The sequence below is a fragment of the Homo sapiens genome, chromosome 16, assembly GCF_000001405.40.
Source record: "Homo sapiens chromosome 16, GRCh38.p14 Primary Assembly".
NCBI lineage: Eukaryota > Metazoa > Chordata > Mammalia > Primates > Hominidae > Homo > Homo sapiens.
In genome coordinates this window covers 52,595,347-52,616,604 of record NC_000016.10, presented here as the reverse complement: position 1 = coordinate 52,616,604, position 21,258 = coordinate 52,595,347, and the positions used below count along the sequence as shown (strand labels likewise).

The 21,258-nt window shown below is 41.4% G+C and overlaps 2 long non-coding RNA genes across 14 annotated transcripts in view; one reads left to right on the top strand and one right to left on the bottom strand.

The window, feature by feature from the left end:
* Positions 1 to 1,833: 1,833 nt before the first annotated feature.
* Positions 1,834 to 9,545, bottom strand: LINC03064 (long intergenic non-protein coding RNA 3064). Of its 13 annotated transcripts, none has more exons than NR_184326.1 (3): positions 9,067 to 9,545; positions 3,909 to 4,130; positions 1,834 to 2,952 (listed from the first exon to the last, which is right to left on the bottom strand). It is a non-coding gene; the product is annotated as a long intergenic non-protein coding RNA 3064 (long non-coding RNA). The 13 variants fall into 13 exon arrangements; NR_184325.1 differs by having other exon boundaries at positions 3,909 to 4,033; NR_184327.1 differs by having other exon boundaries at positions 3,909 to 4,033; positions 9,452 to 9,545.
* An 84-nt stretch (positions 9,546 to 9,629) lies between these two features.
* The window catches only part of CASC16 (cancer susceptibility 16), a 54,889-nt gene continuing 43,260 nt past the window's right edge, over positions 9,630 to 21,258 (top strand). Inside the window, exon 1 of the long non-coding RNA NR_033920.1 lies at positions 9,630 to 10,101. This is a non-coding gene — a long non-coding RNA (cancer susceptibility 16). The remainder of the gene's footprint in view (positions 10,102 to 21,258) is intronic.

Here is a 21,258-nt window from a genome sequence, read left to right as displayed (position 1 = left end):
CAACCAGGAACATAAATACTGAATTTTGTGTGAGTGAGAAATTAATTTTGATTGTATTAAACTATTGAAATTTGGGGTTTGTTTGTCAGAGCAGTTAATGCTAATTACCCTAATAGATGACTCTCCTTTTACAGATAAGAGAGCTGAGTTCAAAGAATTGAAATAACTTTTGCATAGTCACACAGTTACGTTGGAACAGAGAGTTCAAATCAAGGTCTGCTAGCTTGTAGTGATTTGTGGTAAATCACAATTTTCATGATCCATTTACAAAATGGTAATCTTTTGGAGGATGATTTCTTCATCTTTCTATCTCCCTCCTTCCAACTCCATCTCATTCAAAGGCTCATGCGTGTATTTGCTTAGCTGAGCTGAGTCCAGAAAGTACTTGTATAAGCAACCTTCCCTTTTCCATCAACGAATGCCCATTGATATACTTGGCTGCTTTTTAAAAAAATAGGTTGGGTAGGGGCAAAAACTTCCTTTGAGGATTACAGAAATAAGTGAGTGTGACTTTGAAGGGGTCTTAGTTCCTAATTTTCCATACTAGGATTGTTCCGACAAACAATCATTATTTATTATATGATAAAAATGTTTTTCATTTGACACATTCAGAAAAGTAGCAAAAAGAAAGAAAACTAATCTGTAATATCAGGGGTTAAATGAATTATTCAAAATGAGAAGGAAAGAATTGCCTCTCCACTCCTTACAAACTCCAGCACTATCAGATTCACCTTCCAAAGAAAAGCATTGTTAAAATTATGGAGCAAAGTTATTCCTCTATCTATGTACCTCCTATTTGCCCATCTATTTATCTATCTATTCACATATACAATTTTGAGCAAGTTTTTCAACTACATGCATTTGAAAACAATATTTGGATGTTACTCAAAATGGCTAAATCTTTTCTCTTAATTCTATATCATTAAAATGTTTCAATTACCATATATTCATTAATGTATACAACAAATATTTAGTGATCACTGTCTATATGCCTGGTGTTTTTTTAGTGGTGAACAAGACAAAGCTTCTACTCTAGTGAATCATACAATAAAAATTTATATTATGATGTAATATTTCATCATATAGATGTACCAGATTTTACTTAACCAATTCCCCAAAGATGGGCATTCTAAATTGTTTCAATTTTATTTACTGTTACAAAAAATACTGTAATGAGAACACTTGCATATTTATCTTTACATACTCACGCTATTATTTTTGTAGAGTAGAATCCCAGAAATAGAATTATTAGGTCACATGTAACATTTTAATGGATACTGGTAAGTTACCCTCCAAATATTGTACCAATGTTTTAATACAGTATGAATCTGCTCTCCTCTCCCTACTGTTTCCTGCACTTAATGTTATCAATGTTGGCTTTTGGTTTTTGGCCCATCTCTTTAGTGAAAATAATCTCTTTTTTTGTACATTTCTTTAATATTAGTGAAACTGAGCACCATTTGACATGTTTGTTGCTAAAGGTGCTTCTTCTGTAAGTGGCTGCTGATAGCATCTGTCCCTGTGTCTATCTGTTTATTTTTTCTTATGAATAAATATCGAGCTCCTACCATTGTGAACGTGACAGGTATATTCCCTCATGGAGCTTCCAATCCAGCTGGGAAGATAGACCTTGACCAATGGTAAAAAGACGCAGGACGCATCTTATGAACATGTGGTATCAGGTTCTATGGGAGCACATAACAGTCTTGGGTGAAAGTGAGCAGGAAAGGCTTCTTGGTAAAGGAGATGTTCCACAGTAGGAGGAATTGGCCCCGTGGAGGTAGAGACCGGAATTAAATTAACAGGATGAAGAAGCACTAAGCAGGAAGGCGATTAGGAGTCTCTGGTTTGGCTTTATTGCTTTACATATTTATGTAAATGTAATTGCTTGTATCCACCGACTGATGAGAAACAGGTGATATTAGGATTATAATAGCAATTGTTAATAATAATAGTAACTAACATTTTTGAATGTTCGGTTTATTCTAGATAATCTTATGAGCAATTTACATGTATTTTCATTTAATCCCTTCTCCATCTCTTGCACTAGCTACTCTTTCTTTTTTTTTTTTTTTTTTTTTTTTGTTGTTGTCGTTTTTTTTGAGACAGAGTCTCCCTCTGTCGCCCAGACTGGAGTGCAGTGGCGCGATCTCGGCTCACTGCAAGCTCCGCCTTCCGAGTTAACGACATTCTCCTACCTCAGCCTCCCGAGTAGCTGGGACTACAGGCACCCGCCACTGCGCACAGCTAATTTTTTGTATTTTTAGTAGAGACGGGGTTTCACTGTGGTCTCGATCTCCTGACCTCTTGATCTGCCCGCCTCGGCCTCCCAAAGTGCTGGGATTACAGGCGTGAGCCACCGCACCCAGCCACTAGCTGCTCTTTTATTAGTCCCATTTAACTGATCAGGAAATTGAGGCACAGCTAGGAAGTAGTGGGGCCTATTCTTTGCAGTTGTATAGCAAGAATTCCCTGCAGTTAGAAAATTTCTATTTATGCTATATTCCCCTTGGTGTCCACTTTAAAACGTGGGCCTTCAGTATGCTTCCATCACATAATTGCTGAGTGATATTGAGACCACTACTCTGAGCTTTAGATTCTTCTTCTGTAAAATAAATTTAGTGATACTTAACATTGATAGATGACTTTCTGCATGGGTCAGGGGAAGCTGAGTTATACTTCAGTTTAAAAAAAACTTCTAGCAACAAAGTGTTATTTATTTCTCACTCATGTTACATATTGACTGGGCTGGGAGCTCTGTTCCATGTCTCCTTTCTCCAGGACTCCCTGTCTCCTTGCTCCAGCATGGCACACATGTCTAGAATCTCTGCAGCAGGGGCAGGGGCCACTTGCTTCCATTCAGCAGTGTTACATACTCTTCCTCTTTCATTGGCCAAGGCAAGTCACGTGGTCATAGCTGAGCTTCAGCAGGCAGAGAATTGCAGTCTTGTCCTGGACAGGAAAGAAGAGAAACAGTACTGTTTATGAACTACCATAATCCACGTGCCAGTTTCTGTTCTACCTGCTTTACTGTAACAATCCACTTACTTGCCAACAACCCTGTGTAGTAACTATGATTGCTATCCCCATTTTAAAGATGAAGTATCTGAACTCCCATGGTCTCTGAAGCCCTGTTCACAAGAGCCAAGAAATGGAATCAACCTAAGTGCTCATCAGTGGATGAATGGACAAAGAAAATGTTACATATAAACACAGTGGAATACTATTCGGCCATAAAAAAGAAAGAACTCCTGTCGTTTGCAGCAAGATGGATGGAACTAGAGGTCATTGTGTTAAGTGAAATAAGAAAGGCAAAGAAAGACAAATACCATATTTGTTAGATAGTCGAGTGATGGTTATCAGAGGCATAGAAGGGTAGTGTGGAGGGTGGATGAGAAGTTGGTTAATGAATACAAACATACAGTTAAATAGAAGGAATAAGTTCTAGTATTATAGTATTAATATACTACATATTACTAATATAATATAGTATATCTAATATTCTATAGAACAGTAGAGAAATTATAGTTAATAATAATTTATTGCATATTTCAAAGTAGCCAGAAGAGAAAAATTGTTCTGTTTCCAACACAAACAAATGATAAATGTTTGAGGTAATGGGTATCCCAATCCTGATTTGATCATTCTGGATTGTACACAGGTCTCAAAATATCACGTGTACCCCCAAAATATGTACAGCTATTATATATCATTTTTTAAGATGAGGAAATTGAGGGAAATAAAGATTGAGTCACTTGCCCAAGGTCACTTGGCTAGAAAGTAATAGATCAAGTTTCTACCCAAGACACAGTCTCCAGATCCCATACTCTTAAACCACCCACTGTATTTACCTTATAGGGTTATTGTGAGAATAATAGATTAGATGGGACTTGGAAAGTGTAACTTACCATAAGGGAGCATTAGCATTATTGTTGTTGTTGCTGCTGGTCCTTCAGTGCGCTGGTCTTAGGAAGTCCTCAGGTGAGGAGATTGATTTGACTCAGCCTCTCCAGTGGCCATCTCCAGCAACACTCTGCCAGAAAGACACAGGTTTTTGAAGGAGGTGTCACTGCCTTTGCCATGAATGATTCCCACACAAACAATCCTTTTCCAGTCCAGGTCCCATTAACCTAAAAATCACAGGCAAGTGCGGTGATTAGAATGAATCAACATCAGGCGCCGAAGGGCTGGCTCTGTGAATAAGTCATGTAGCACAATGTAAAGTGGGATAGCACGTTGTAAATTAATGTTGTTAAAATGAATACTTGATAGTAATCCCAAGGAAGGCTATTTACCATCCGCACTTGAAGCGACAGGAGCTGTGTGGAAGCCAAAGCAATTTGCATTGCACAGAAACACTCAGGTTTGCTGCTGCTGATGAATTATCAAACACTTTGGCTTCTTTCCATGTGAAGTGCTGTTTAATGTTTACCTAAAAAGCAATGGGGCAGGAATGCGCTCTGTGTACCTTGGGAATGACGAGTGACAGAGGTCAGTGGGATGAACAAAACAAAGGAAATCTGTTTTAGTAGCCACCACCTTCTCTGGGCTATCACAACTGGCTTTCATTCTCTCTTGAATTTTGGATGGACCATTCCATCCTGGAGCTGGGTGAACAGAAGCACTGTCAAGACATCAGTAGTCACCTGTTCTTTCTGTCCAAGCTCACTTTCCTGGTCTGGGTCTTCTGATGTCCTGCCTCCATTTTTTAGGTGTTGGAATTTCTATATGCTTCATCAGAGAGCTGATGAATGGCACTGTTCATCAGTGCAAGTCTTGGGCAAAAATTATCTTTGTCTCTTTTAAAAAATATTCACCCCAGAATACTCAAGCTTACCTTGAATACTTTGAGTGCCACATAGAAAATAACACCCACTGTTTTTGACCTCCTCTCCTTCACGAAAAGTCAACATTACCCTGTACAATAGCTTCAGAATTCTGCTGCTTATGTGCATGGTTTATTTACATGATAGGCCCAGGAGACAACCAAAAGAAGGAGGAGAAAGAAAAATTTAAAAGTCCTGATGATTTTACCCACAGTTCCACTCCATGTGAGGCTGAGAAGGGGAATAGGAACTTAGTTTCCACAGGGCATGGCGCTTGCCTTCAAGCTAACTACTTTGTCAGGAAACAGACCCAAGAATCCACAATCATTCCAGTGTTAGAAGGAGAACTTCATGAGTTGAACTCACTGAGCTTCTTCCTATGGGATTCTGAAAACCACGACTTGCTTTTCATTTTAAGAGGTAGAAACTATACTCTACTGTAATGGGAGAGTCCAATAATAAATTAACATAATTTAAGCCCATTCTTTTAAACTTAACTTTTAGCAGATTTTGCACCTTCTGGGAGTTGTACCAGGAAGAATAAATGATTCCTCTTCCTGGTACTCCTTCTTCCTCCCTGCCACCACTAAAAAGCAAAATCATGTAGTCTAGAATAGGGCAGCCCATTGTTTGATTTTTATTTCATTGAGACTAGGGTTTCTCAAACTTGAGTTATATACAGACCCTTTTGAGAGGAAAATAATTACCATGGATCCCAATGAGTATATAAAAGACTTTTATTAAAATGTTAATATATAAAGTCAGATAGAAACTCTTTGTGCTTATTGTTTTAGTGAATTATGAAACCAAAACAAATTAGAAATTAAATACAAACATCAGTACAGATCTAATAAAATTCAAATTAACAATATTAAATAAATATGATGAATCATGTTGTCTGGCTGAAATGGAATCTTCTCTTTAAACGTGGCTGTTGTACTTTGGGCTTTGTTGCAAGTTCTCTTGGGGTAGGAGACCTAGACCATCGTGTATGAACAATGCTCTCATCTCTCTTCTCTAGTTCTCATCACTTGGCATGAATTGATCATTTCCTATGAGTTTTTGCACTGGATCTTTCTCTGTTCTTTTCTGCAGGTAACACAGGTAGTAGTATTAGGAGCCTAGAGGATGGCAAATTACAAAAGCAAAGTCTTTTCTGAAATCATATGGCTGAACTCAATGAGAAGGTGGCCATGCAAATAATCCACAACATGCTTCCATTGATTTATTCTTGCTTGTCTCTGAAACTTCATGTGAAATGAAAATTTATTTTGGAGAGAATGTGTGTGGACCCTGAGGGGCTGTGGACTCTAGTTTGGGTGCAGTGTTCTAGATGTATTCTCTTAATGACCTTCTTATTTCCCCACCAGTCATCTTCCTTTGTCCCATATACCATCAGAGCATGGTCAGTTTACAGGATCCAGCTGGACAATTAGGAGACCCAGGCTCTGGTTTTGGTTGTAGCTTTAACCACTCTCTGTCTGCAGTAAAGCCTCCTCTTAAGTCTCTACCAGTCCAAGAAAAGCCATCATTATCTCTTGCCCCAACTGGAATGGCCTCCCAACTTGCCAACCTGCTTCCATGCTTGGCCCCCTGCCCCATCCATTTTTCACCCTAGAGCAGAGGGCAATCTTCTTAAATTGTGCATTAATCATGTCACTTTCTTGTTTTATACCTCTCCACTGAAGTTCCAATTTTATTTACAATAAAACCCATGACCTACTATGCTGTAGGTCCATTTTCCACAACCCCCCCACTCTATTTTCGTCCTACAGCAGAGGGTAATCTTAAATTATAAATTAGTCATGTCATTTCCTTGTTTAATACCCTGCCATTGAGGTTCCAGTTTTACTTACAATAAAATCTATGACCTACCAAGTTGTATGGGATCCAGTCCCACCTATCTCTCCAGCTCCAACCCCTCCTCACTTCTTCACATTCTCCGTGCCCAGTCCTAGAGTTTCATTTCAATTCTTCAAATTGCCCAACTCTTCTTTGCATGAGGTTTTTGAATGGGCTTTTTGCTCTCCCTGAAACACTCCCCATTTCTACCAGTCAGCTCCTCTCTCCCTAGTTTCTAATAATCCTTTAGAGCTTATTTTAATTCCTGCCTTTTCAGATCAGGCTCCTCTGATTACCCTACCTTGGTTAAATTTACCCTCAAACCTTGCTCTCTGTATCCATATTTTGTTGAACTCCATCATGCCACAATTTAGTTGTGTGATGTGGGCATACATTCCTTTTTGCATCTGTCTTCCTCCACTAGAATGTCAGCTCCTTGAGGGCAGCAACATTGTCTGCCCTTTTATCATGGTATCTCCCTGCACCTAAGACAGTGCAGGTATGGAGACTCTATTGAATTATTGAATTAATATTTATGAAGGAATGAAAGCCTTCCTTCCACTGGACTCATTTCCTGGGCTTAATTTTCCTTAGCTATAAAGTGGAGCTAATAACATTTGCTTCTGCTACCACTGAGACAACACATCTCTGGCCCTAACATTGGGGCTTGGTGTGCTAGTTGCTTTTCTGAAGTCCATCTTCCTTATAGAACTCTGCGGCATCATAACCACGTGGTGAGCTGGAGTGGAATTTAGGAACTCAGCCTTCTTACCTCCTTCTACAGGAACAGTGTGACATTGGGTGGGTTTCTTAACCTCTCTAAATCAAGGATTTCCTAACATGTAAAACAGGGCTATAAATTCCTGCTCCACCTACTTCTTTGGGTTCTTTTCAGACTTGAGATAATGAGCACGAGGGAGCTTAAAAGAAGCATAGAGCAAAATGAAAATATAATTAACTCAATGACTGTAAAATGCCAAGAGAGGTAAAGATAAGGAAACTAATGCTGATTACATATTTACCATGTGCTTGAGGCTTTGCTAGATGCTTCATGTGCAATACTCAAACTGTCATGAAAAGCCATTTTTCCTGGAGAGAAAACTGGGACCAAGAATGCCAGGTCACTTTTTCAAGACTGTGCAGCCAGTAAGCAATGAGGTTGGCTTTCCAACCAGATCTGGGTGACTTTTAAGGCCAATATGCCCACTGCTTCAGGCTGTCCAAAATGACTGAACATTGTGTATCATTGTGGAGGGTCGTTCAGCCTCTACCTAAATGCTTCCATATGGGCGTGGCCCGATTTCTTTGGGATCCTTACCCTGGAGACAGATAGGATAGACCTAAGGTCAGAATATCTCTCTATTGGTAAAGTTAGATCTTTTGTCCTTCCTCCATCCAGCTGGAAGTGCGCTCTAGACGTCATGGGCTTGCTGGCAATTTGGGGAATGTCTTAAAAAATCCCTTTCTTGGCTGGGTGTGGTAGCTCATGCCTGTAATCCCAGCACTTTGGGAGGCCCAGGAGGGCAGATCACCTGAGGTCAGGAGTTTGAGAACAGCCTGACCAACATGGCGAAACCCCATCTCTACAAAAATACAAAATTAGCCAGGTGTAGTGGCACGTGCCTATAATCCAGCTACTTGGGAGGCTGAGGCAGGAGACTCCCTTGAACGTGGGAGGCGGAGGTTGCAGTGAGCTGAGATCGTGCCATTGCACTCCAGCCTAGGCAATAAGAACAAAACTCTGTCTCAAAAAAATAAAAAAATCCCTTCTCCTTTCAGACAACTCAAGTTGCCCCAAGTCCTGGTGGTAGGCCAACACCCTTACAATTCCAGAAATGCCTCCTTATCAGCTGAAAGCTCCAGCCCATTGACAACTGCTTTCTGAATTGTGAGGACGCTCCCTATCCTGTAGGTAATACAATAACAGGGTAGAGGCTGCAGCAAGAGAGATGAAGCCTGAAGCAGTTTGGTAGCAGCTAACACCCCAAATACCCTGAGCTTCATCTGTACTCATTCTCCCCAGCGCTGTGGATGGCTCCTGTGGACTCCAGTTTATCTCAGCCTCAAAGCTAATAGAGTTAAACCAGCTGCTCAATTTAAAGAGGAACTGAAGCAGTGAGATGTTACTGTATTCTGAGATGGGGCTAATAAACTTTAATAGATTTCAGCTAACAATTTGGTATAAATTAGACATTGCACTGCTGCTGAGGTAATAACTTTTGGCACTAAATAACAGAAAATCAAGCTCTGTGATGTGCTTCAAAAACACCTTCATCGAGCTTCCGAGATTCAGGCAGATTTCACTATTGATTACTGCTCACTCTTCCCCAAGCTTTAAGAAAACAGCAAACTGCTCCAAAATATACCCCCTCAAAGGGGCCCAGACTTTTTCTCTCACCTGCTCAGTAACTCATTTACGTTAAAGAGCCCTTGGGCTTGAAATGGGTACAAGGTGGCTGGAAGACTTCTAAGGATGAGTCAGGAGCCAAGATATTAGACAATCCCCTTAAGAGCACTCAAACACTTGTTCATGTTTTTCTGGAATCTTCCAAAATGTTCACCAGCTGAACGAAGTCATTTCCATTAGAGTCTGTTTAACAATGGTTCCAATGTGAGCTCTGTGATGAGCATGGGTTAGGCACTAGAGTCAATGGAGTATGTGACAAGAGGCCTGACCTGGCTTTAGGAGAACGTGCTCAGGTCTTGGCTATGGCATTAATGATCTGCATGACCTTAGGCAAGTGATTTAACTTCCCTGAACCAGAGTTCCCACACTCACTTGCCTTAAAAGGATGTGAGGTGGGAGGAAGTTTGAGAATCCCTGAGAAAGTGCGTTGTAGGCTGGGAAGTGCTATCCAAACATATGTTGTGAGATTCAATAGGTTGTGGGACGTTTGGGTGGTCTAGGGTATACTAGGGTTCTAAAGCTCTGTGACATCATCATGAGTCTCAGAAATGGCCAGAATGTTCCTTGCTGCAGATGCATTGGCCCCATCTGCAGGTCCTCTTTGACACCTACCTTACTCTCTCCCTCCACTCACACTCTGAGAACTGTGCTCAGGGGCAGCGCTACAACTTCCACATTGGTCTTTACAGGGCTTGAGTGATTATTTCAAGAACAGAACGCTGTGTGGAAACCTTTACCATATTTCGTTGTATCTAAGACACATTTTTTTTTTTTGAAATTTAACATCTCTAAGGTTGGGTTATGTTTCTTCATCATTGTCAGGTTGGAGCTTAATCAGCAGCACTTTTTTTTAATGTCACACACAGTAATGGTGATGCATCTCACAATTGAGATCATCTTAGACATGATGGAATATGGAATCGTGTGCCTGTTACAAGCCAGGCTCTTGTCTGGGTTCTAGAGACGGTGGAAACCAAGACAGCACCATCCTCTAGTGGTGTTCACATCCCACCACAGTGGAGTCAGGTAAGTCAAACAAGAGCAAGTCAACAAGAGGATTTCATATGGTATTACATTTTGGAACAACATAATAGAAAAAAACAAAGATGATCTAGAGTTTTAAGCTACTATTAAGAGGACAGTCCATGGGGGCATCTCAGAGGAGGTGAAATTTACACAGGAAGCTGAATGCTAGAAGGAAGGTTACCTGGTAAGGTCCAGGACCAAGAGCTTTCCAGTGTGAAGGAATAGCCAGGTCGTCCCTACAATGAGAATTGTGTTAGCAGGATGTTACTGGTAGAGTCCTTATGCGCATAATTCTCTAAATATGTGCACATGAGAATAGTCATAGATTTCCCCAAAGATCTTGTGCCTTTATCTTTCCTTGATTTTTTTTAAAACCAAGCTCCCAATCTACCTTCATCAAGGACTGTCTTAGTTTCCTAGGGCTGCTGTAGTAAATTACCACAAACTTGAGTGGTTTAAAACAAGAGAAATTTATTTCATTATAGTTCTAGAGGCTACCAGTCTGAAATAAAGGTGTCTGTAGGGCCATACTCTCTCTGAAGGATGTAGGGGAAAATGTGTTCTATGCTTTCTCATAGTTTTTGGTGTTAGCTGGAAATCCTTGTAATTCCTCGGCTTGGAGTAGACACATTTCTCCAAGCTCTGCCTCTGTAATCACAGGGCTTTCTCCCCATGCATGTCTGTCTCTTTTCCTCTTCTTACAAAGACATCAACCATGTCGGATTGGGACCCACTCTCATTCCGTATGACCTTGTCTTCACTTGATTACATCTACAAAGACTCTATAAAAGCATAGTCACAGGTACCAGGGATTAGGACTTCAACATATCTGTTTAGAGGACACGATTGAACTCATAACAGTTTTCCTAATAATACATATCAAGAGGAGGCCTTAATGGAAGTCTGATGCCACTTTGATAACATGAGACCCGAACCCTCTCACCACCAAACAGATCTCCTACATTTTGTTTACAGAGAAGAGAAGTCATGACCCCATCTTTAGGGTTTAGGATCCAAATGCCAGGTTTCCCTGCAAGCATTTTCTAATCTCTCTATTGGCCTAGGTGATTTTGGTGATAAGGTAAAAGCTTTATTTTGGTGGAAGATGGTCATCACCCTAAACCTCCCTAATGGTAATCATTGACTGCAACAATTAATGACACTATTTTTGGAGTATGCGGGTGGCAGCCATAGCCAAGTGAGAAATTTCTAATAACTTGGTAGCCAGTTGTCATCAGGAGTATTAGTATTAAAATAGGTAGTTCATTCCTCTGTCTATTCCTGTTATGATATAATGCCACCTTTGGAAGTCATCATAAAATAATAGCTGCCATTTATTGAGTGCTTATCATGTGTTAGGTATTTGCCACATGGTTTAAATGTATTGTGAACCCATTTAATTATTGCAGTAACCTCATGAAGTAGGTACTATTATTCCCCTCACTTTAAGTTGCGGGGAACGAAAGTTACAAAAGCTTCTGTGTCTTGCATACTGTCACTAAGCTGGTGGGTGATGTAAAGAAGATTCAAATTTAACAGGCCTGGCTTGAAAGCTTGTGGGTGTAACCACTCTCTCTACTGCTCTTCAACAGGGCAGCCCCCTCGTTTTATGCCAGACAAGGGAAATGATGTTCTCAAGGTCACACAGCTGAAAGATACCAGAACTGATTAAAGGACCCAGATTCTTCTGATTCCCGGGCCAAGTGCTTGCTCTGCTGCCCCTTGCTTTCCCAAGGCTTCATCAACATTCACGGCCCTGTGAAATTTCCCAGTGTGGTATCTGACCCCGATCCCTAAGAGCAAGCCTAAGATAGTCCATGAAAAGGTCCTGCTGGCAGAGGCTAGAGCCCTGACAGTGCCGCCCTGCACAGTGGACACCAGCCCCTGTGAAGTCCAGATGTTGCTCAGGAACATATTGGTCATTGTAGGCAAAGGAGTGCCCCTCGATGTAAAGTGTTTTCTGGACCTCTGTCATTGCTACAGAACTAAGTCTGCTCCATCTCAGCTCACTGCTGGCTGAAGCACAGTGGGGTCACTCTTCTGAAATGGAACTAGATTCTAAATCTGATCAGTTTCACCTTTCAAAGCTATTGGTTTCCTAAAATGCTGTCTCACAAGAGATTGAGACCAGGTACCTTGGTCTCCATTTGGGGAGGGGAACAGGGTGGTTTGGGGTCAGGGGTGGGAGGAAGGTTTCTCAAGTATATCTCTCCTTTTGTATTTTTTTTTTTTTGAATGTTGTACCCTGTGAATATATGGGCTATTGAAAAGAAGGTCTGAAGTACAACCTTGGGTTGGTGAGAAAATACTAAATACATTGTAACCGATTAGCAGTGTCTGCCGTGAGTGGGGATAAAGCAGTATCAGTACACGGGCTGACATTTCTTACCTCTGGATACTTTTCATGAGATTCATAATTTATAGCTCATGAGGATAGAGCTCCTTATTTCCCAGGGAGAAGATTGCAGGGCAGTTGTCAATGTTTTGCACATTTCCAGATCTTTTTCAAAGCTCATCATAGCTATGTGAGTGTCAGAAAATGGGTTTTAACAACTTCTCAGCTGTGAGAGGAAGCAAGACCCCCGGGGATCTATTTCATGTCTAACCTCACTCCCTCTTGTTGACTGCATAAAAAATAAGGGGTGGCATTTTTTGTTTCCCCCCAGGGGTGTCCTAACCTCATGCTCCCTGGTGTCACCCCTTCCTCCTTCTGCAGGAATTAGATAGCTCTTCTTCAGGTTCCTCCCGCTACTCAGGCTCCAGCCTCCAGCAGAGGCGCACAGGAGTGAAGACTCAAGATGATCCCATTTTGGGCCAGGCACAGTGACTCATGCCTGTAATCCCAGCACTTTGGGAGGCCCCAGCGGTGGGCAGATAGCTTGAGTTCAGGAGTTCGAGGCCAGCCTGGACAACATGGTGAAACCCCGTCTCTACTAAAAATATAAGCATTAGCTGGGTGTAGTGGTGTGCACCTGTAATTCTAGCTATTTGGGTGGCTGAGGCAGGAGAAATGCTTGAACCTGGGAGGTGGAGGTTGCAGTAGCCAAGACTGTGCCACTGCACTCCAGCCTGGGAGATAGAGTGAGACTCTGTTTCAAAAAAAGAAAAGAGAAAGATGAGCCTGTTTTGATGTTTCTGCCTGGAAAAACTACCCTTGACAAACACATTTGTTGCTCATGCTTTATCTGTTGGCTATCTACCCATGTGCCCATCTGTTGAGATGGCAGTGTGCCTGATCCCAGGCCCTGAAGCCAGCCCCAGTAAACCTAGGTGTCAATCATCAGTGAGCTGGCTGCAGGAGACTTTGCCCTCTGGGGATCCTTCTCCCAACTTTGCCTTGAGAAGACTGAGCCTGCAGGCATGCTTCCGGCTTTCTAGCCTGATTCTTGGCTGGAGGTATACTCCCTGTTGGAGATTCCCAGCTTAGGATGAGAGAGACTTGTCCTGTGGAGGATGAGGCCCAGTCTAAGCTGAGACTCTGTGTTGGAGGGAGAGGAGAGGTGGTGAACTTGGGACATGTGCTTAAGTCAAATGGGATCCTGCCTGCCTACACTGTGGAGAAAGGCAGGGATGTCAGTGTAGAGTAGAACCACATCTCTTCCACTGAATCCCATATGTGTGAGTGTGTGTATATGTGGGGTGGGGGGACTAAGTTCATCTACATCGCCAGTGACAAGTCAAATGTCTTTATTTCCCTCCCTTGTTCCAAAATGGATTTGAAGAGACAGATAAAATATGCTAACAAGGGCACATTTCCATCTCTGGTGATACATTTAGGCTCCAAAATGCACCTGGCAGGGTGGAGGTAGAAAATTAACTATGGCTTATGTCTGGCGTAGCATCAGCCACACAGTATGAATGAGAATATGAATGAATGATAGAGGTTCCCTCACAGATGGCTTTGTCAATGAAATGTGATGACCTATTTCTTTACCTTATATTTTGAGCAACTACTATATGCCAGGGACCCTTCTGGGCTATTGGGAAGTAATACCAAGCAAGATAGACAAGCCCTCTGCTCTCAGAGGGCTTATCTTCTATCAGTGAACATACAAAAACAAACAAATGAATGTGCAATGAAAACTGGGCAGAGCTCAAAAACTTTTCTCTTGCCCTGTGGAAAATAGCAGAATAGAAACTGGCATACATGTGTGTATTAATCCATTTTCATACGGCTATAAAGAAATACCTGAGACTGGATAATTTATAAAAGTAGAGGTTTAATTGACTCGCAGTTCTGCATGGCTGGGGAGGCCTCAGGAAACTTACAGTCACGGCAAAGATGAAGGGGAAGGAAGGATCTTCTTCACAAGGCAGCAGGAGGGAGAAAGAGAGAGAAGGAGGAACTTTCAAACACCTATAAAAGCATCAGATCTCGTGAGAACTCACTCACTATCATGAGAATAGCATGGGGGAAACCGCCCCCATGATCCAATCACCTTCCTCCCTGGACATGTGGGAATTACAGGTCCCTCCCTCCACACGTGGGGATTACAATTGGAGATGAGATTTGGGTGGGGACACAGAGCCAAACCATATCAACCTGTTAAGCCGTCACCTGTATTTGCTAGAAGGTTTCCAAAGAGCCCCCTGCCACAGCACACATACTCATGTATGTAAACATATACACTCACATGTACACATACTGTCTTCTTGAACTTGGAATGCTGCTCAGAGATACATAAGTTTTTCCTGTCAAATGTGCAAAAGGCATACCTCTATGACTAGACTGGGGGTCTTGTCAAGAATCCAGAGAGATCCCAGTTTGCTTGGATCTGTTGTCAGGTTTCTGTACCTCAAATCATAACATCTGGGCATCTCTTTGGAGCCCTAACACCTGCGTGCTGACTCTGGATATGTGTGGGAAAGGGCCGTGGCTTCTGTGTCATGTCCCCCCATGTATCTACCCTGGAAAGCTGCGAAGGTGGGAGAATGGCTACTGTAGAATCAGGGCACATGAAATGTGACTTGGGAGAAATTACCACATAGGATCCTCTACTTCTTCTAAGATTCCATCTGCCTTAGAGACTGTGATTCCTGGAAGATTCCAGAGCTCTGACTTCCTTGGGTTGCTTGAATGCTCAGGGGTTTGAAGAGTGATGGGAACCATGGCTTGGTTATATGATTGAAGATATTTGGATGTCAGGGAGACAATACCATCTAGATCTGAGGGATGGCAGTCAGAAAAATGTAATCTTCCATGGGATGGAGACTGAGTCTCCTTTTTAGCATACAAGGGCCACTCTGATTACGTCTAATAACCAAATCATCCATGAGTAGCCTGGTATAGTGCTCAGTCAGCCAGGGTGGTTATCTCCAATTATACCCAGCAGGATTAAGAACCTAATGCCCATTAAGTTCTCCATGGCTGGTGAGTGAGTGCCTGTGAGAGAGATAGAAGAGAATGTGATAATGGGACTATCTCATGTGCTGAGATGTGAGTAGACTATGAGCCCCAGGCAGTCTACTATGTAAATGGTGGGAAGGATGGTATTGTCTGTCACTATATTATCAAGATCTACCATAACAATGCTGGTCCAGGGTAGGATTCAGTAATATTGGTGTGATGAGTGAATGAATGAATGGTAGTAACTGTTCTTTTCCTCAAAATGAAGTAAATGTGATGGGAACATTTTTGATGTTAGTACCCATAGTGCAGAGAAATTGGTAGTGCTGGTGATGATGATGAGGGAGAGGGAAATTATTATTAGACTGAGAGACAACATGCTACCTTGGTGCTGGCTGCAAAATCCCAGCATAAATCAAATTGTCACAGATAAAAAGTAATAATCACCATTGTGGGTGACAGTATGGATAGACAGGCAAGTTTCTGCAACTTTTGTAGGAGCATAATTTGGTGTACTACCTCTCTGGAGATGCATGTTGGCAATAAGTTTCAAAAAAATTTAAATATGTGTGATGGTCCAGCTGGGCCCAGCTAAACTAGGACACATAAACTAGTTTACAGGTTTATCCTAAGATATCTAAGGATTTACATGGGTGCTTAGCTACTAGGGAGATCCTTAATACTTTGTTGAACATAGCAAAATATTGGAAATAGCTTAAACATCCTCCAAGAATGGGCTGGTTGAGTAAATGGTGGCCCTTCCCTATCCTAGAATACCATGCTGCCATTTAAACAGCATTGTAGACATATTTGTCGACATAGAAGCTTGTGTATTTATTAGGATCTGGTTAGGCTGCAAGTAACAGAGAAGAAAAAAAGTGTTGCTTTAACAACAGAAAAAGAAGCTGGTTTCTACTGTGGCTTGAATGTTTGTTCCCTCCCAAATGTAGGTTGAAGTTTAATTATAACAGTATTAAGAGATAGGACCTTTAAAAGGTGATTAGGCCGTGAGGGCTCTGCCCTGATGAATGATTAATGCTGTTATCTCAGGAGGGAGTTCCTTACAGAGGGATGAGTTTGGCCCCCTTTTGCTTCTCTCCCTCACCCTCTCTGGCCATTCCACCATGGAATGATGCAGCTAGAACACTCTTGTCGGATGCGGGTCCCATGATCTTGGATGTCCCAGCATTTAGAACTGTGAGAAAATAAATTTCTGTTCATTATAAATGACCTAGTCTGTGGTTTTCTCTTAATGGCAAACGAACTAAGAGTTCCTCTCTTATGTGAGAGTTCAGGGTCATGTTGGGGGCTCTTCAGTCTTCTAGGATCAAGCTTCCAGATTTCTGCTGTCAGGATTGTTAAAAAAAAAAAAAAAAACCTTGGCACTGGGTAGCCATCAAAGTGTTACAAGTAGCATGTGGCTTTCCTCTGCCTTCTTTGCAAAGATGTCCTCATTCTTCTCAATGAAGTTGGGAGTTGTTCTAGTTTGTAGGACTCATGCAAACTCAGACAGTGCTTATGAGGACTTTAGACAAAGAAGTAAAGATATGGGGCTCCACATAGTCATGACTCTGTATCCCTGAGTAAGCTGCTTTTAATTTTTGTTGGCTGTTTCACTTCCGTTACATTCTCAGTTAATAAATAGTGAAAGTTTAGAGAAACATCTCTCTATTTTTTTTGAGCTTTGAAGCCACAATAGCAAATGAAAGGCATATGTGAAGGATAAATCAGGTTTATTTTAGTACTTCCCAGCATATCCCCATGTGTAATTGTGTTGGGTGATCTCTAAGACACCAAGAAGTGTTTGTAAAGATTTTCTTTACAAGTCTACATTTGCAGCCTTCTGTGAAAGTAAGGCAGCATTTGCTCATTAGGATGGACCCTGAAGCAAGGAAAACATCACCAGTCTTACTGGAACACTCAATTCAGTCAAATTAGATATGAGAGCATCACTTCAATACCAGCTTTGCAAGGCCATGGCCTCAAGCCAAAATAACTACCACTAAGTGTTGACTATGATTACTTCTGGGAGGCAATAGAGTTCTCGGAAGCTGGGTGGGGTATGAGAGTTAGGGGGTCCCAAAGGACTGAAGTCAATAGGGGAGGTGGTGACATGTTAGTGGTGGACAATAAAGCCTCGTTTTACTGGGTTGGAAAGAGTTAGCACAGCATTGGTCTTGATAGAGGCCTTAGCAGTTTAGCAGTTTATACTTTATTTGATAGCAACTCCCACTCTGTTGTTTTTAATAGGTCCTTTAAATTTGCATTTTCACCAGAGACACTTAAAACTAAGATAGAGAGAAGTCAATGATGAGAGTGCTTTGTTATAGAAGGGACTCTTTGGGTTGCAAAAAATGGCAATGAACTTGAGTCAGCTAATGTACAGGGAAACTTCTATCAAATAATCAGAGATAGTCCATACACCCTGGGGCAAGAAGTTTGGTGGGAGAACTATAATGCCATTAGGAGTCTGGTGAACTTAACTGACAAGTGCTCTCTGATTGTTGGTGGGAATACAGGGTCCATGGTGGCTATCACGAAATAGCTACCTTGTCCACCTTCCAAGTCTGCATCGTCCTATAGTTTCAGCATCCAAAGTTAACTGGTACTGTTTCTTCATGCTCTGATTCAGAAATCTGAAACAATCAAATGTGACTGGCACAGTCTAGGTCAGGTGCTTATCCAATCAGCTGTGGTTGATGGGGGTAGCAGGTCATGTGGGGCTCATGAGAGCTGAGTCTTTGAAAAAATGAAAAGGGCAGATACTCTAAGAAGGAACGTGGAGTGGTTATAAATAATCAACAGAGAACATCATTTGTGTCTATAACATATTTACCTAAAAAGAGAAGCAAATATGCTAAGCTCACAGCCTACACAGTAGATTCTTAGGAGACAGGAAGACAATCTGTGTGCTGTGCTGCCCCCCTCTTTGGGCTTCTCTCCTTACTTCTTTACCAGTTTTCTAATTACTACCAGCAGAGCAATCAATACAAGGTTATCAACAATAGGAACAAGTTAATTAAGATGAGCAAATTAATCAGGTAATTAAATGGCCTTCCCTCAAAAGGTGAGCCTGTCGAGATGTTAGTAACATTAGGCCACATTAAGTTGTCTTTCTGCAGGCATACAGGAATCGTGGCAACTGTGGATCATGCCAGCCTGAACCAGGATTTATAATCCTCATCCGTGTGCACAGGATTTCTTTGGTCTTATCCACAGTAAGATCATATTCCAATGTAAACTCCCAGAGCCTTGATTTTGTTCCCAATGTATGAGCCCTTTGTGTCAGGGGCAGACCTGGGTAGCTTAGTAACCCGATACATATTCTTTCCTTTTACCTGGTAAACAAAAATCCAGTCTATCATTGGTGTGCCTGCTTAAAGACTACATTTCCCAGCATTCCTTGCAGCTGGAAAGTAGCCAAGGAAATTAGGTGAAAATCATTGAATAGTTCTTCTGCACTTCTTTGAATGGCTGATCTGGCTAGGAGACATGCCCTTTCTATTTCTGTTTTATTTTAGAGTTTCTGCATATTTTAGAGTTCTGTGGTTTCCTTTTTTTAAAAAAATAAAAAAACTATTTTTTGCCCAGATTTTATATTTTTTTTATTTGTTTCAAGAGAATGTGTAATTGATTGTTGAAGCATTTCTGTCTCCTTTAAAATCCTTGTTAGGCAATTCCAGCATCTGATTCATCTGAGCATGGCTGTCAGTTGATGGTCTTTTTTAGTTCACTTGTGTTTTGCTTGGTTCTCAGTGTCATGGCTTTTTACTGTATACTGAACATTTTGGCTATTATATTAGGAGACTCTGGATCCTGTTTTAATCTTTTATTTTAGCAGGCAGTCAGCCTGTTTAGGTTTAGCACGGAGGTCTTGGCATAGTTTCGTGGACTGTGGTTACAAAGACAGTTTAATTTTCAGAGCCTTTGTGATGTTGTTTTGGTCTGCTTGGTGTATCTGGTGCTGCTGCCTGAAGAGACAGAGGAGTTTCTGCAGACCAGCAGAAAGGTGACACTTGGTAGGAGAGGAGAATCTCAGGCCCCGTGAGGAAGAACAGCATTTCTCCTGGATGCTTATTTTCAAGGAGCAAAAAAGTAGAACCCTGGTCCTGTGGACTGGAACCCACCATACCAGCTTTAGGCTAAATAAGCTTTAGGCTGCTCTTTTCTTATGTAAGAGAAAAAAAATTGTATCTTGTTTTAGCCACTGTTATTCATGTTTTCTGCAATATACTTGATATGATTTGGCTGTGTCCCCACCCAAATCTCATCTTGAATTGTAGATCCCATAATTCCTAAGTGTTGTGGGAGGGACCTGGTGGGAGAGAAATGAATCATGGGGGACAGTTTCCTCATACTGTTCTCATGGTAGTGAGTAAGTCTCACGAGATCTGATGGTTTTATAAAGAGAGATCCCCCTTTCACTTGGCTCTCATTCTCTCTTGTCTGCCACCATGTAAGATGTGACTTTTGTCTTCTGCCATGATTGTGAGGCCTCCCCAGCCATGTGGAACTCTGAGTCCATTAAACCTCTTTTTTTTTTTTTTTAAGTAAATTACCCAGTCTTTGGTATGTCTTTATCAGCCTCATGAAAATGGACTAATACACAGAACTTAATCCTATTGCCATAAGAGGGAGGGGGATAGAACAGGGAGTCCCCAAAGTTGGCTGACTCTTGTTCTTCTAGGCTAAGCAATTTGACAGCCCCATGTCTATGGCTTATGCCACCATCCTTGGCTACAGGAATTCTCTCCTCCAAATCAGAGAATGCTTTCCTGTGTGAAGGGACAGAGTGACTATGTTTAGAGATTAAAGTATGGTCAGCCTGAGTCTGAATCCCAGCTTTATCACTGGCTTTGTGACCTCACGCATGTCACTTCAATTACAACTGAAAAAAGGATAATAATAACTGGTTGTTATGAACACTAAAATATATAATGCACATTTGGCCATCACCATCATCTTCTACTTGTAGCAAACATTATTTCATAAGAAATGGGTCACATAAAACACAGCATGTAAATAACCAAAGCTAACATTTACAGAGCACTTACTAAGAACCAGGCACTGGCTTACACACTTTGTGTTAACTCATTGAGTCCATACACACTCATGAGGTAGTTATTATAATTATAACCATTGTTCCCCTTTAATAAGCCATGGGACTCAAAGGAAGCTGAGAACTTTGTCTCAGTTACACAGCTAGCAAGAACTGGAGCTGAGATGTGATCCCAGGTCTGTCCAACTCCAGAGCAAAGTTTTAACAAAATAGATTATTAAACAGAGAGATATCTCTCAGATTTGGGGATACGAACAATTAATTCACTTCATTCATTCAGCCATTCAAGTAGTATCCATTGAGTTCTCATTCTGTATCAGTTCTGTGGTAGGCACTGCTATGGTTTGAATGTTTGTGTCTTTCTAAAATTTGTAAAACTTAATCACCAATGCAATGGTATTAAGAGGTGGGGCCATTAGGAGGTGATTAGGTTATGAGGCCCTGCCCTTATGAATGGAATTAGTGCCCTTGTAAAACATCTTAAAGAAGTCTGTTTAGTCCTTTTTACTCTCTGTCATTTTGCTATGTGAGGATGCACCAAGAAGGCACCATCTTGAAAGCAGAGACAGCCCTCTGCAGACATCAAATCTTCTGGTGCCCTGATGTTGGACTTCCCAGTCGTCAGGATTGTGAGAAATAAATCTCTATGATTTATAATTTACCAGATTTAAGGTATTTTCTTACAGCAATAGAAATGGACTAAGACAGGCACTATACATACAAAGATGTACAAAACATGGTCATGCTTTCA